The following is a 15,946-nucleotide window of genomic DNA, read 5'->3' on the forward strand; positions in this document are numbered from 1 at the left end:
CAGGATGTTTTTATGTACTTCTCATTTTTAGCAGCATTGTTATAAACAATTTATATAAATATAAATTATATTGAATATATATAGTCACCTATACATCTTCGTAAAATTGGGATTATCATTATATATATTTATATCCTGATTTTTGTTTTTACTTGTGAACATTTTAGCATGATTAAATTACATGGGAAGAAAAATGTATATGAAATCTTTTGACATATCAAAATGGTTACTTTTGGAAATAAAACAAATTATCCTTTTATTTGTGTATATTTACCAATGTTTATATGCTTCAGAGTTTATTCATAGATTTATTCATTTATACCAATATCCTTAATCCAACTGGAATTTATTTTCAGGAATGTTATGAAATGTAGAACTAATTTGAAAATCTCCTGCACATATTGAGCTAATATTTCCAGTGTCTCTTGTTTAATAATCTAATTTTTCTCAATTGATTTATCATATGTCTTACTGATAGTTATTGTACATATGATCTATCCAAGGCTGTCTGTTCTTTTCCATTACTTTATTCATTATTTTCCTACTGTTGTATATTTGTAAATATTGAGTGGACCAAATTCTTCACATCTTTTTATCATTTGAAAATCTTAACTAAGCTTTTTTTGAAAAAGAAAATTTTTTAAAGATTTGAGAACTTTGTTATTTTATTAGGATTGCACTAAACCTACCTATTACATTTAGAAAAATTAACATTGTTACATTATTATGTCTTTTATCCAGAGCTCATTTAAATGAGGCAAAAAAATCTGAAATTCTTTATTTGAGTATGAAATCCAACAGAATAATGGATTGTTTTATATTTTATTATACCTTTTTATATAAAGGAAGAAGAAAATTTTAAAGCCCTTCTGTTTCAATTAAGATACCTCACTATTATTTATATCACTTAGAATCAGTGTAAGTATTATTACCAGGGGAAAAAATTATTAACTAAGGATTTACAGATTATGAACTATATTTCCCAAGACATAACAACAATCTCTACAATCCAGGTAGCTTAGAATTCTATTTCTTAGTTAAACAAGAAATAGAAATCTCAATGCAGGACAGATGTCAGAAAAGTAGAATTGATATTTTTGTCACTATTTTTAATACACTACTTTATCAGGACTCATTTTATGACATATAATTTTACATGCTTTTCTGTAGTACTAAAAGAAAGGTAATATTTTCTCATTATCTTCTAATGTTCATTCTCAAAACTAAACACTGAATTCCATTAGTTAGGATAGAGAAAATAAAGCTGGCTGTAAATCCTAAATTCAACACATGAAAACCCAGTATGGCAGACAATATTTGTTTTTAGTTAAATAAAAGCAGGTGCATATCATGTTCTTCTATATAGAAGCATTTATATCGTTTCATTGATGCCATGCTTGAGGTCCCTCAGTGAAGTGTTGTCATCATGTAGATATATGTAACTTCAAGATTATTATTAAAGTTGTTCCTAGATGCTTCAAGTATTTTGTTGTTATGAATATTATTTATTTGCATTATATTTTCTAACTAGTTACGGTGTTTATGGAGGAAGGAATTTTATTTTTGCATTTTGCATATCAATATATTTAGCTATTTAGAAAATTTACAAATCGAGTTACATAGGCTATATTGGTAGATATTTTATAATAGCTTACAAATGTGACTAAATTTGTGTATGATAATCACAAAGCCAGTTTTGAATGTAATAAATAATTATATCAGGTATTAGTTTGATATTAAATATTTTGAAAAAATAATCTTGCAGTTTTGATTAATATTTGATAATATTTATTTGAAGTTGGAATTAATCTAAAAATATATACAACTATTGAGGGCATTCAAAAATAAACAGCCTGTAATAAAGTTAACGAAAGTGATGTGTAGGTAACTCTTTTCATTTGTTTTCTTAGAGTTTTCTAGAAATGCACAACCACCTGAAAATTAAAAGTAAACTCTAGCCAAATATATTTGTCTGAACTGTGCTGTTTATATGGAATCTTTTTACTTCATTTACATGTTTTGGTCACATTTTTGCTGTGGAATGAAGGGTCCAAAATTTGACACATAATTTTGATAATAAACACTTTCACAGTTTCTTGTATTATTCAAATTTTTAGGATTCAGTTGAATTACCAGAATCAGTTCTTCACTGTATTAACATCATAAAGAACAGGAGTAAAGCTGTTGAAGAGCTCATTCTTCAGGACCTGGAAGATACTGATATTTTAAGTAAGTACTATTTTCATCTGTCTGGCAGATAAGCTTTCTGTAAGTATGAACAAATTATAATTTAGTAAACTAAAGTGCTTAAAGTTCTTATCTCTTACTGTGCACATGTGTATACATTTAGTGTATTTCTAATATATCTACAGTATATTGGACTGTTGGGTTTAGTTCATTCATTTTTTTTTTACTATCTTTCTTAGGTCTTCAGTAAATACCATCAGCATTTTGTTTCCGCAGTCCTAATTAATACCAGACATCCTATTATTTTATATTAAAGAAAATAAAACTAATCAAGAGAATTTTTTTGGCAGTATCAGTATATACATCTTTTTTTGGGAAAAATATAATCACTTATTTGAAAAGCCCAACAGTATTTTGCTTGAATTGTGCAAATTTACTTCTTGGAATTGTTCTAAGACTAATGGAAAGATCGAAGATTTAATTAGAATTAACCTTGGCTTGGTTTATAATGAGAAATGGCAGCATTCTAAATGTTCAACAAGACCTTTTTTGTTGACTAATAAACCTATTTTTAAAAATGACAGACAAATATTTAATGTAAAAAATATTCATGATATGTTAAAAGCTATTTTAAAATTAAATGGCATTTATGTATTAGTATAAATTACAATGTAGATATTCATATTCATTCAATAAATATTGCTTTGTGATAGAATGTGTTCTAGTCACTAAGAATACAGCAGTGAACAAAACAGGCAAAGATTCTGTTTCTCTGTTTTAATGTTCCAGTGTAGGGAGACAGATAATAAACAAATATGCAATATTTCAATAGTGATAACTGCTATGAAGGAAAAAAATGTAAGGAGATAGAGACTGGAGTTTGCTATTTTAAATAGTCAGGGAAGGTCTCTGTGACAAGGTGATATTTGAGCAATGACTTAATGAATGTAAAGCTGAGCCACATGGTTATCTAGGAAGCCTGTATTCTGGAAAGAGGGAAGTATAAAGGCCCACTGAGTGGATTTAATATGTTTGAATAACAGCAAGTAAACGTTTCTGGTTGTATGTGAGAAAACAAAGGATTAGATGATATAGGACTCTTCCAAACTATTTTGTGGACTTTGGATTCTATTCTCAACATATAAAAAATTTTGAGTAAGCAATGACAGTATCTGAATTTTATTTGGAAACAATCATTCTGTTGACTGTGTAGAGAATATGCCTTGAGGTAGTCAAGCTACTACAAGACTATTGCAATAATATGACAAGAGATGAGAGTGGTTTGAGTAGACATGAAGAAATATGGTCATATTCTGGACATTATTTTAAGGTAGAAAGAGAAGCATATATTGGTGGACTGGTACAAAATGAAGAAAGGAAGGTGGCTCCAAGAATTTTGTCCCGAACACCAGCATGAATTGCTATGTAAAGATTTACTGTATATTTTGACAATGATTATCTATGGTTGAATTATGAAGAATGTTGACATGTTTTGTTTATTTTTACTCAGGTTTAAACACTGAAAATATAAATACATTGACAGGTATACAGCCTATTTATAGCCTAATTATAAAAAAAATCAAGGAAAACACAATTGTAGAAATTAGTTACATGAACTGAGATACAACTACAGTTACAGCAGTGGTTTAGAAAATTATGAGATCTTGTATATAACTCTAACCTAATCTAATCTAATCTGATTTCTAATAAGATCAAATAAATCAGAGCCTTATAAAAGATATTTGACAATCGTAATGAATAAAGTAATTTTCCCAGAAAATTTAAATTAATTTAATTATTTAAAATCGTTAATTATTTAAATTATTTAAAATTATTAAATTTATCTTAGTAAAATTAAGTATAAATTATTAAAATTATTTTAATTTATTAAATTAAAATAATTGTTAAAATTATTAAATTTATTATCATCATAAGTTTATTATTCATTAAATTATACTAATATGTATTATTTATTAAATTTGAATTTATTGAAATTTAATTTAAATTATCCTGTGTAATAATTTAATAATTTACATTATGTATTCATTCTTATATGAATTATTTAATTTAAATTATTTATTACATTATTTGTTACACGGGATGATAGTTTAAAATTAAATTAATGATTTTTCAAGAAAACAAATTATCAAAATTATTTGAAAAAGTGAAAAACAAATCAATAATATGGCAAAGAGGTGGAAAGAGATTTTTCAAATGTTGCTAAACTAGGAAAGATGTTATAACTAAATTCTTACAACCTATTAAGGAGCAAAAATACTTTATTTCTAAAAGCTATATATTTCAGATCAAAATTGTACAAGCATAGCACAGATAAAAGAAACTAGAAGCTAGTTGCACTTATGAATATAGATGATTGGGGTTCTCAGTTGTAGAAAACAGACACTCTAGCTACTTTAGGCAGTAAGTTTTTTTGTTTATTTTTATAAGGAGAGATGTTCTAAATATTTATTGCTGTGTTATGAATATAGATGTATTGATCGGGGTTCTCAGTTGTAGAGAACGGGCACTAGCTGCTTTATGGGCAGTAAGGTTTTTTGTTTATTTTTATAAGGAGAGATGTTCTGAATATTTATTGCTGTGAAACAAAGTTAGAAAGTTAAAATAATTTATTACTATATCTTTTGGTTCTGTTGGTTGACTGGGCTCACCTGGACAGTTCTTGCTTGGGTTTTTCATGCATTTATAGTCAGATGTTGATTAAGTCTGTAGTCATCTGAAGGCTTGACTGGATTACAAAAAAAATAGCTCATTAAAATGTCTGGCTATTGATGCAACCTGTTGGCTGGAGAGTTCAGATGTGGCTTTCAACTGGAGGCACCTACATGTAGCCTCTCTCTGTGGCTTTCGCTCCTCAGATCATGTAGATTCTGAGAAGTGTTCTACAGCAAAATACCAAGAGACCAAGGTGGAACCTTGTAGGGCTTCTCATGATCTTTTCTCAGACATCATGCGTCATTTCTGCCACATCCTGATGGTCACGCAGGGTCAGCTTATGTCCTATGTGAGAGGGAACTACACGGGATATGTATACCAGTAGGTGTGATTCTTTGGGAGAAACATCTTTGTTTCTATAGTAGATAGAGACTATCTACTAGAATAAGTAACCGAGTTATTAATAAGACTGAAGAAGCAGTCTCTAGTCTAAACATCCAAGGTGTAGAACAAACCCCACACATATATCATAAAACTGGGCTGCATCAGAAGCTGCTGTCTGCTATACTTAAGAAGTTCAGAGACATTAATCCTCTACTATACACTCCTGTCTCCCAACTCCAAGCTCCTTCTACCACATTCTGGCTCATAGAAATTAAAACATCATCACCTGCCTCCCTTTATACATAATAATTTATGAAAAAAAGAGTTATGTAAATATATTTATGGACATAAACTAAATCACTCTCAGAAATCTAGCTGCAAAGGTATCTGGATGATGTCATTTTTTTCTTTTTGACCTCTCACACAGGAAAGCATGCCAGAAAGGTAGTGAATAGGTGTTAAAAGAAAATCTATAATATCTGACAAAATAGGTGTGAATAATCAGTTAGCCAGCAGAATGGTCCTCTGTAAAGTTAGTTTGCTATTAGGAAACATTACCATGTTATAACATATTAATTGAATGAAAGAAAATAAACATAACTACATCTGCACACATAATTAAAAATTATAAAATTCAACAACTCATAAAATAAGAAATATAATTCCTCTTCATTTACATGGTAATAATTATAATTTTTAAATTAATATTTTTATTAAAATGTTTTCAATATCTTGTGCAAGGTCATGTCTGGTTTGTGGCAGATAGAGTTGAATTTTTGTTGATTTCTAATCAAGATGCCGTTGCAATATCAAGCCAGGCATGATCCTTTTTGCCTGGGAAATAAACTTCAGGCACTAGAATATGGAAAATGATAGAGTCAAAGCACTTTAGAAATTTATTACTTTTATTTTTAGAATAAATATATCAGATTTCCTCTATTGTTTATTCTTAATAATTTTTCTGTTATTCTGAGTTACTCTTACTGATCAACAATATACCCTGATAGAATTTGAGGTTAAAAATTAAGAAAGGGTTTGAAATTTTGAGATGTTGTATTGTACTCTAATATTGGAAGTTATATACATTTTTTCTTTCTCTAGGCTGTAGTTATGGAGCAGTTTCTAATAATCATATGCATTTAAGAACAGGACTATCAACTGAATATGAAGAAAGTTCAGAGCAATTAATTAAGGTATATATTCAATATTTGACTTAAAATATTCACTATTACAATTAGAAATTTTCTCTCTTACACAAGATTGATACTTCACTGATTTTAAGTTCACTGATTTAAATATTAAAAATTTAATTATTCTTAAGCAAATCATCTGTGGTTTTATGGTTTCTTCTGGCATATGATATAAAAACACTCAATTTTCAGTCTTTAAGAATATTAAAAGTGGTGGGTTGAGCCATTTATACCTGGCAATTTAATGTGCATGTAGATAAAATAGGAGAACTATATTACACAAATTTTGTTGTCTAAAAATTCTGAGGAAAATAATGAATATACTCTTATTTACTCTTTCTTAGGATTGTACTATGTTCCTGCAGAGACGTTATAGAAAATTTAAATTTACAATACTTTATAGTAGTTTTTAGAAACAAATAAAAGAAAAACTTACTTAAAAAATAAGAAGAGCCTTAGCAGTTTAAGTTAAAAATCCCACAAATGGATTTAAGAGAAAGTCTCTCCTAAAGATTCACTTCTTAGATTGACTTTTACCTCTCATTTTATCCAGCTTTCTCTCCTTTTACCTATTTCTCCTCCCTAATGTGTTTAACATAATTTGAAAATTTCTTATATATCTCATTCTTTTTTAATGTTTTACTCTATTGAATTTTTTGTAATACTCAAATTTGAAATATTAATTTTCAATTATTATACTGTTACTTCCTTGGAATAAATAGCCTGTATCTTTCCAACTAAAGTATGGTGAAAATATAATTATGGAAAATAATTGATATAAATGATGTATATATAATTTAGGTTACAGAATAGTTCTCTTTCGTATCATATAGAATATATAAAAAGTTTGTGTATGTGAACAGTCACTACAGTCAGAAAAATAGAATATATTAAAAGGAAAACATTAGTAGAAACATTTTGAAGTGATTGTCAGATGGTTTAATTGAATATTGTGGAATAATACTAAATAATATTAAAGACTTATTAGAGTTCCGAAAAACATAAGGAGGGTTACTAATGCTTGCATGGGAAAATTTTTTATTCATTGTAAAGAGAATAATTATCAATGTGCTGCAGATTTGTATTTGAGAGATATCTGGAGTACATTAAAATTCTTGGTATATACATATAAATATTTAATGTATTATTAAAACGACAGCTTTACTCTCTATTTTGATTTTCTTTAATCATTGGTACTCATTTAACCTCTTAGATATTATCTGAAATAGAAAAAGAAGAATTTATGAGAAGTAAAACCGATTGTGCCACTCCTGATTTTGTTCCTGAGCCTAGTCCTCATGACTTGCCTATGGATGAACATGTTTTACCAGGTGGACTAAATTGCTCAATGATATGTTTGTTGATTTTTATATGATTGATCATAGTTATTTAAAAAAAATTGGACAGTTGATGTTTGTTCTGATATTTAGAAAAGCAATTACAATGTTTGAAGATTATTGTGCCTTTGCTATACTTATTAAATTACATATCATCATACTTTTATGCCTTCTAAATTTACTTGATTTAAATATTTTTTCCACATGTTCAGCTGATTGCAATAGACTTGACTATCCCTGACTTTATTTAGTATCTCTTAACTATCTCTTAATGACACACATACACACACACACTTGTGGGTTTATTTTTATATTAAGTTTTGTGGAATATTTTAAGTCAACTTATGTAACTTTATTCACTTTGGTGAAATTTCTACGTCTATTCAACAATGTATTTTATTGTTGCATATTCTCGCTTTGGGAATATGTTAACATTATTTTTTTACTTTAAGATTCCTCAAGGATCTAGAATTAGAAATACCATTTGATCCAGCCATCCCATTACTGGGTATATACCCAAAGGATTATACATCATGCTGCTATAAAGACACATCCACACATATGTTTATTGCGGCACTATTCACAATAGCAACGACTTGGAACCAACCCAAATGTCCATCAATGATAGACTGGATTAAGAAAATGTGGCACATATACACCATGGAATATTACGCAGCCATAAAAAAGGATGAGTTCATGTCCTTTGTAGGGACATGGATGAAGCTGGAAACCATCATTCTGAGCAAACTATTGCAAGGACAAAAAACCAAAAACCGCATGTTCTCACTCATCGGTGGGAATTAAACAATGAGAACACTTGGACACAGGAAGGGGAACATCACACACCAGGGCCTCTCATGGGGTTGGGGGAGGGGGGAGGGACAGCATTAGGAGATATACCTAATGTAAATGATGAGTTAATGGGTGCAGCACACCAACATGGCACATGTATACATATGTAACAAACCTGCACGTTGTGCACATGTACCCTAGAACTTAAAGTAAAATTAAAAAAAAATTAAAAAAATTACTTTTATACTTTGAATTAGTTTTGACAGTTTTGATCTTACAAATGATGATGTTATTTTTCTTCATGAGTGCAGATGATGCTGATATAAATTTTGGATACTGTGAAGTGGAAGAAAAATGTAGACAGTCTTTTGAGGCTTGGCAAGAGAAACAGAAGGAATTAGAAGATAAAGAGAAACAAACTCTCAAAGCTCAGAGGGATAGAGAAGAAAAACAATTTCAAGAAGAAGAAGAAAAGCGACATTGCTGGATGAAACAATTTAAAGTTGAAAAGAAGAAATTAGAGAACATTCAGAAGGTATTTTGCTTTTGTTTTTCATGTATTTTTAAAATCAGTAGCTACCTCTGAAGAATATTGATATTTGGATTGTGTTGCAGATTGAGCTTAATAGTATGACTTTTAATTACTCTCTGATAGAGGAAGAAATTGACTGTGAATTAACAGTATTTAATATGAGGTCCTTGATTAGTTTTTATTGAAATTCATTGGAAGGTCAGACACACTTCTGATCTTGGGGGCCAATGGAGTCTATGAATTTCAAGGGTCATCATGGATAGCCTGAAATTTACAATATAAATTGTTGTTTTTCTTTATATGCTTCTAAACATTGGAAAAAGCAATGAAAAATTCTTGAGTATGCATTAACCTTGCTCTGTGGTCTGGCATATGACATGTAAAACATATTTAAAAGTAGTTCAACCATTTAGAGTCAGTCTGCGCCCCACCTTCATAATTAAGCTACTTCCTTGAACTGGCAACTTTTTGGTGTGAAGTTTTGTACTGTTTTCATTTCTGTCGTATGTGTTGTTGGTGTTGTTTTCCCCCTAGGAGATCCACACAATCAGATCATAGTGGTGGTATATCGGTATTGAGAAACTGGTGGATTTTAGGACACCACTTGCAGGTCATGAGAACCTTAGAATATTTGGATAACAGGCATGACTGACTTCTCTATCTTTCATGATTAAAGTTGATTTATACATTATCCAGAACTTGCTGGGTTTGAGTGTTGCATATAAAGAACATTAGCTTGTTCAACATTTTTTAATCCTCCATGTTGAGGACATTTCATTTCTTGACTGTGTAGAAAATAAACACATTAAAGGCTGGGCGCGGTGGCTCACGCCTGTAATCCCAGCACCTTGGGAGGCCGAGACGGGTGTATAACGAGGTCAGGAGATCGAGATCATCCTGGCTAACACGGTGAAACCCCGTCTCTACTAAAAATAGAGAAAATTAGCCAGGCATAGTGGCGGGCGCCTCTAGTCCCAGCTACCCGGGAGGCTGAGGCAGGAGAATGGCGTGAACCCGGGAGGCAGACCTTGCAGTGAGCCAAGATCGTGCCACTGCACTCCAGCCTGGGCGACAGAGCAAGACTCCGTCTCAAAAAAAAAAAAAAAGAAAGAAGAAAAAAGAAAATAAACACATTAAATTGTAATATTGTAGAACCAGTTATGCCATGACTTTTTCTAATAGTAAGATATGAATCTTTAATTTTCCTTTAGTTATGTTTTCTTTCCCATAGACCAGAATGACATAGTCATTTCTGAGATCAAAAGCTTTAAAAAAAAGAAATCCAAAATAGGATTGAGTATAATGTAGATTATTGGAGTAGTATTTGTTGGTTTGTACTAAAATACATAATTGCTATTAAGTGTTAGTAGTATTTTCAGATTTAAGAAACATCTGATTTCAATCCTATTCAGCAAAGTTGTCATTTTTATTTGTTTTATAACCAAAATTTGCTGACTACCTTAAGGGCAAAGCATTCAGCTGTGTGCTTAGATGATGCAAAAGAGATCTAACAGCAAATCCCACCCTCAAAGAATTATAACTTATTTTTTTGAAACTAATTTGCAATTTATCATATAATTATGATTTAAGGAAATGCAATAATATTAGGTGTAATGAATTCCTAAATATGTCCTTCATTATGCCTTGGAGCTTAAAAGTTTCCAATGGTTCTAGCCCATATTTTGTATGATTGACTCTAAATATATAATTTACTTTCTGTCAGTAGTTCTTTCCTGGGTTGTTTGTTAGCTGCCTCTCCATTCCCCAAAATAGCAATCATAAATCTCTTAAGAATTACACCCAATTCCTCCCCCCTCATTATTAGCAAATAACCACATAACATTTTTTTGCATCAAATACAAACTTCCTCTTTGAATTACACAGCTATTTAGTATCAACATCTGTACTCATCCTTTTTAAAATTATTATTGGCCTTCCCTCCTATCCCAGTAAGAAATGCTTCTTTCTTCTGCCAAAGGTTAGCTTTTCCTCCTCTACTTTATATTTTATCAGTTTTCAACCTACACCTGCTTTTTCTATATGCTGAAACACTCCTATCATCTTCCTCCTTTTTTATTGTTTATAAGCATGTTCAATTTCCTCCCATCCTAAAAATAAAACAAAAGAAAAATCGTGAGATCATTCTTATGTTTTTCTTTAGCTGTTCTTTGATTGGCTTTTTAAAGGCTGTGTATGATAGGCTTCTTAAAGAGTGGTTATTTATACTGTATCAATTTTTTCATTTCTCATCCAATTCTAATCCTGCTAGGTTTTTTGCAGCATTACCACACTGAATGAAACTGTTCTTGAGGAAGATAACCAATGACTTCTATATATTATACTCACAGGTTTCTTTCAGCTATTTTGGACTCTGTAGCATTTTATGCCAGCAAAAATTTGATGGTTGACCATTTTACTTTCCCTTGACTTCTGTGAGATCACATTGTCTTGATTCTGTCACATCTTTGGCAATTACTCATTGATATCCATTTTAGACTTCATTTTCTCTCTCTGTCCTTGTGTTTTCCATTAGGCTGTTCCTGCATTGCTATAAAGAAAATGCCTGACACTGGGTAATTTTTAAAAGTGGCACACACTTTTAAATGACCAGATCTAATGTGGACTCAGAGCAAAATCTCACTTATCACCAAGGGGATGGTCAAAGACCTTCATAAGGGACCTGCTCCCATGATCCAAACACCTCCCACCAGGCCCCACCTCCAACACTGGGGAGTAGAGTTCAACCTGAGATTTGGGTAGGAACTAACATCATGGATTCTATTTTTGTCCCTTTCTTTTCTTACTCCATATACCTCCACCTTGATAATTTCATCTTAATGAATTCCCTAATGTGTCCTTTATTATGACTTGGTGCTTAAAACAAATGACCGTTGATAACCAAATCTACAATTGTATCAAAACAAGGTAGACTACATAACTCTCCTACAAAAACTGCATACTCAGAGAACTTTATGTATCTAAAACTGAATGCATTGTCTTTCTTTCTGAGTTGTTCTTCCCTGGAATTCTTAATTTTGATAAGCCACACTATTATCATTAGTCCAAGATAGAAAAATGAAGGTAATGTTTTATTCTTCCTTCTTTTTTATTACTATCTTTGATCCAATTATTGTATTATCCATCTTCGCATCCATGTACTTTACAGCTCCTTTGTAGTTCAAGCTGCCTGAGGGTCTAACTTGGGATATTTACTATATTCTCTAATTGGTCTCCCTACCTTTGGTCTTACATTTCTCACACTTATCCATAGCACTGTCAGACAACTATTTATTTAAAAATACGTTACTTCCATGCTTAAACCTCATCAAAAATTCCCATAGCTCATATGAGATAATGATCAAAGAACTTTTCCCACTTTTTAAAATATCTAATGAATTGGTAATTTGTGGCAATTTCATGTTTACGTTGTCTTTGCATTTGTTCTCACTCTTGCTACCTATCTACAGAAGGTCCTACTCATTCTCACATGGTCATTTCCGATGCTTTCTGATACAGTTTGGATGTTTATCCCCTTGAAATCTCATGGAATCACCAGTGTTGGAGGTGGGGCCTAGTGGGAAGTATTTGTGTCATGGAGGTGGATCCCTCATGAATAGCTTGGTGCTCTCCCCATAGTAATGACTGAGTATTTGCTCCGTTAGTTGCCACAAGATCTGACTGTTAAAAGGAGCCTAGCACTTTCTCCTCTCTCTCTCTCTCTCTCTCTCGCTCCCTCTCTTGCCATGTGACTCACTGGCTTCATTTCTCTTCCACCGTGAGTAAAAGCATCCTCAGGCCTCACCAGAACCAGATGCTGGCACCGTTCTTCCTGTACAGCCAGCAAAATCGTGAATTAAATAAACCTCTTTTCTTTATGAATTATCTAGCCTCAGGTGTTCCTTTACAGCAACACACTAATATAATTTGCTCACTGATCTCATTGTCTCCTTGGTTCTCTTTTAATTTTATCTAATGTAAACTGATGATTTTCATAAAAACAGTGATGTAATTATTTTCCTAGCTCAAAATGCTTAATAAGTGCCAAAAATGTTTCTCTTCTTGAAAACCTAGTGATTTCAAATACAGTCTTTTGCATAAAACCTTTCATGATCTAATTATCATGCCCATTATTATTTTTTATATTTTTCTCTTGCAATAAACTTATTCTGCTAGATTTTGGGTAATGTGTAAATTTATGATAGTGTCTTCACATTATCAGAAGAGTTTTTGAAGAAGGGGGTTGTATTTTACTGATCTGTTTATTCTGAGGAGTCTTATCGAATGTGTTGATAAAAACTTATTGAAAGAAAACCATCACTTACTGAACTGATTTATGTGAATTAAATGGTATGACATGGTGAGAAAACAATTGTAACACAAAACCCATTTTACAAACATTATTGTAATTTTTACAATGCCTAACAGTGTTTCGAGCCAATACATTATATTCTGTGAATAAACATACTCAAATAAATACAACTTTCCTAGGTTGCAAACTTCTTTATGTTCTCAGAATGGAAACCCTAGGTATTATGTGACACTTCAGTTTGAGATTAAAGTTGTTATCCCAGTACTAAAAATTGAAAGCCATTGGTTGGGTTGTCAGCTTTAACTATTGTTTACAAATATATGTTATGAGAATCATATATAATTAACATAATATTTTTGATATTTGAGTATAGTCATATTTATTATTATCATATGTTCAGCAAGAACAGGACAAGATGAATGATGAACTCTATAAAGAAGAGAAAATTTGGAAAGAGAAATTTAAACAGCATGAGGTATCTATTTGTTGTTTTTATTTAGCACATTAAGCTTTCTTTATTTGAAATACATTACTATGCTTGAAATGGTTATTTTTAGATAATGCTGCCTAAGTAGTATAAGATTTTAGTTTATTACAGCATTAAAAATTTATTAATCCTCAGAAACACTCCTTGAAATAGAATGTCTTAAAAATGAGAGTTAGCTGGTTTGGTGAGTGTTGTCCGTATAAAATTGTAATTCTAACATTTCTTTTAAGGTTTGATGAAATGTACCATTTTGAATATTTCTTTATGTTCAAAGATTGTTATGAAAGCTTACTCTTTTTCCTAAACACAATTAAATTTGTTTTGAATATAAGATTATTCTGATGATACATATACTGATGTTTTAGTTTTTATTTACTCTAGAGTTTTCATATACAATTATTTTAAGTAATTACAAATTTAAAGTAGATATCTCCATAATCCTGTTATTTAGCTAAACATTATCCTTTTTTGTATTCCTTTCAAATCTTTTTAAAATTTATATAAACCCGCTCCTGCAAAAGTAGGTGTCTACTACACATTGTCAAATTAAAAAGCTGGTTAAGCATGTAAAGAGACAGAGTCATATGAATGACAAGTGACAAAAAAAGACAATAATAGCTCACCTATAGATAATCCAAATGGTAAGTATAGTAGAGCTGTTAAAATACCTATAATTATCATCCAGTAGCAAAATACTTAAACAGGTGATGTGAAAAGAAAAATAGCATCTATAATGAAGTACCAACTCTACATTCTAGAGTTTAAAAAATTCAGTATATAAAATTAAAATTTAGTGGGTGAATTTGATTGGACATAGCAGATGACACCATTAGTGAAATGAGACAGTTCAATAGAAAATATCCAAATTAAAGCACAGAGAAGAAAAAAAATTGCAAGAAGAGGAAAACAGCACAAGAAATATGTGACACATGGTGAAAAGATATAAAATTTGTATCATATCTTGAGAGGAGACAGAGAATGGGGCAGAAGCAAAGAGGTAAAGAGATAATGGTTAAAAAGATTTCAAATTGTTTTTAAAAAATCAACCAGCATATTCAAAGATGAAAAATAATTTCCAAGTAGGATAAATACAAAGAAAATGCTACCTTGGAATAAATAATACAATTATTGAAATTCAAAACAAAGGAAAAATAAAGTCTTAGAAGCATCTGGAGGATAAAAGACGCATTACCTAAAAAGGAGTAACAGTAAAACAAATAGCCATCTTTAAGTAAAATGATGGAAGAAAGAAGACGATTCAAAAAACGTAAGTATTCAATGATAATGGTTTCTTTGTTTATTAGTGTTCTTTGAATCCTGACTCTTCCTCCATTTTCTGGACTCAATTTTTAATTTCCTGTAGTATACACTTAAATAGTTGTCAAAAAACATTTTTGGATGCTAGATTTTCTCAATCTTTGTTTGCATATTTGAAAATATTTTGTTTTGTTTTTTGTTTTTTAAGATGGAGTCTCGCTCCGTCGCCCAGGCTGGAGTGCAGTGGCGCCATCTCGGCTCACTTCAAGCTCCGCCTCCTGGGTTCACGCCATTCTCCTGCCTCAGCCTCCCGAGTAGCTGGGACTACAGGCGCCCGCCACTGCGCCCAGCTAATTTTTTGTATTGTTAGTAGACACAAGGTTTCACCGTGTTACCCAGGATTGAAAATATTTTTAGTTTGCTTTTAAAAATGAATGGTCAGTTTCTTCGGGTGTGGAATACAGATTTATTACCACCCTTAACAATGTAAAGATATGACTTTGTTGCATATTTATTTTTGCCTGTGCTATCTATGATTGCAAATTTGATGCCTTTTCCTTACATTCTTTTGAAGCTTTAGGATTTTTCATTTTATACATTCATCCACACATATTTACTGGTTTTCTACTAGGTCAGGCACTTCTCTGAGTGTTTAAGATATGACAGTACATAAAATTGAAAATAATCCCTACTTTCAAATGCGATACACAATTTCCAAGGAGGAGAGATACAAAGAAAATCACACCTTGGAATTAAATAGTACTATTCAAATTCAAGACAAAGGAAAAATAGTGTTGG

At 31.1% G+C, this 15,946-nt stretch overlaps 1 protein-coding gene across 22 annotated transcripts in view; it reads left to right on the top strand.

Annotated features, from left to right (window-relative positions):
• LRRIQ1 (leucine rich repeats and IQ motif containing 1) overlaps positions 1–15,946 on the top strand; it is a 236,455-nt gene that overhangs the window by 2,022 nt on the left and 218,487 nt on the right. For 20 of the 22 annotated variants that reach the window (XR_944764.3, XR_944765.3, XR_944766.3 and 17 more), the window contains exons 3-7: positions 2,118–2,229; positions 6,346–6,437; positions 7,648–7,765; positions 8,875–9,098; positions 13,805–13,879. Coding sequence is in view for 18 of the 22 variants with exons in the window: in XM_011538819.4 (XP_011537121.1) it covers positions 2,118–2,229; positions 6,346–6,437; positions 7,648–7,765; positions 8,875–9,098; positions 13,805–13,879 (621 nt within the window). In the remaining 4 variants the exon portion in view is untranslated. The remainder of the gene's footprint in view (positions 1–2,117; positions 2,230–6,345; positions 6,438–7,647; positions 7,766–8,874; positions 9,099–13,804; positions 13,880–15,946) is intronic. The other 2 variants (XM_047429655.1, XM_047429657.1) reach the window with 1 other exon arrangement.

Source organism: Homo sapiens, chromosome 12 (assembly GCF_000001405.40).
Source record: "Homo sapiens chromosome 12, GRCh38.p14 Primary Assembly".
In the NCBI taxonomy this organism is placed as follows: domain Eukaryota; kingdom Metazoa; phylum Chordata; class Mammalia; order Primates; family Hominidae; genus Homo; species Homo sapiens.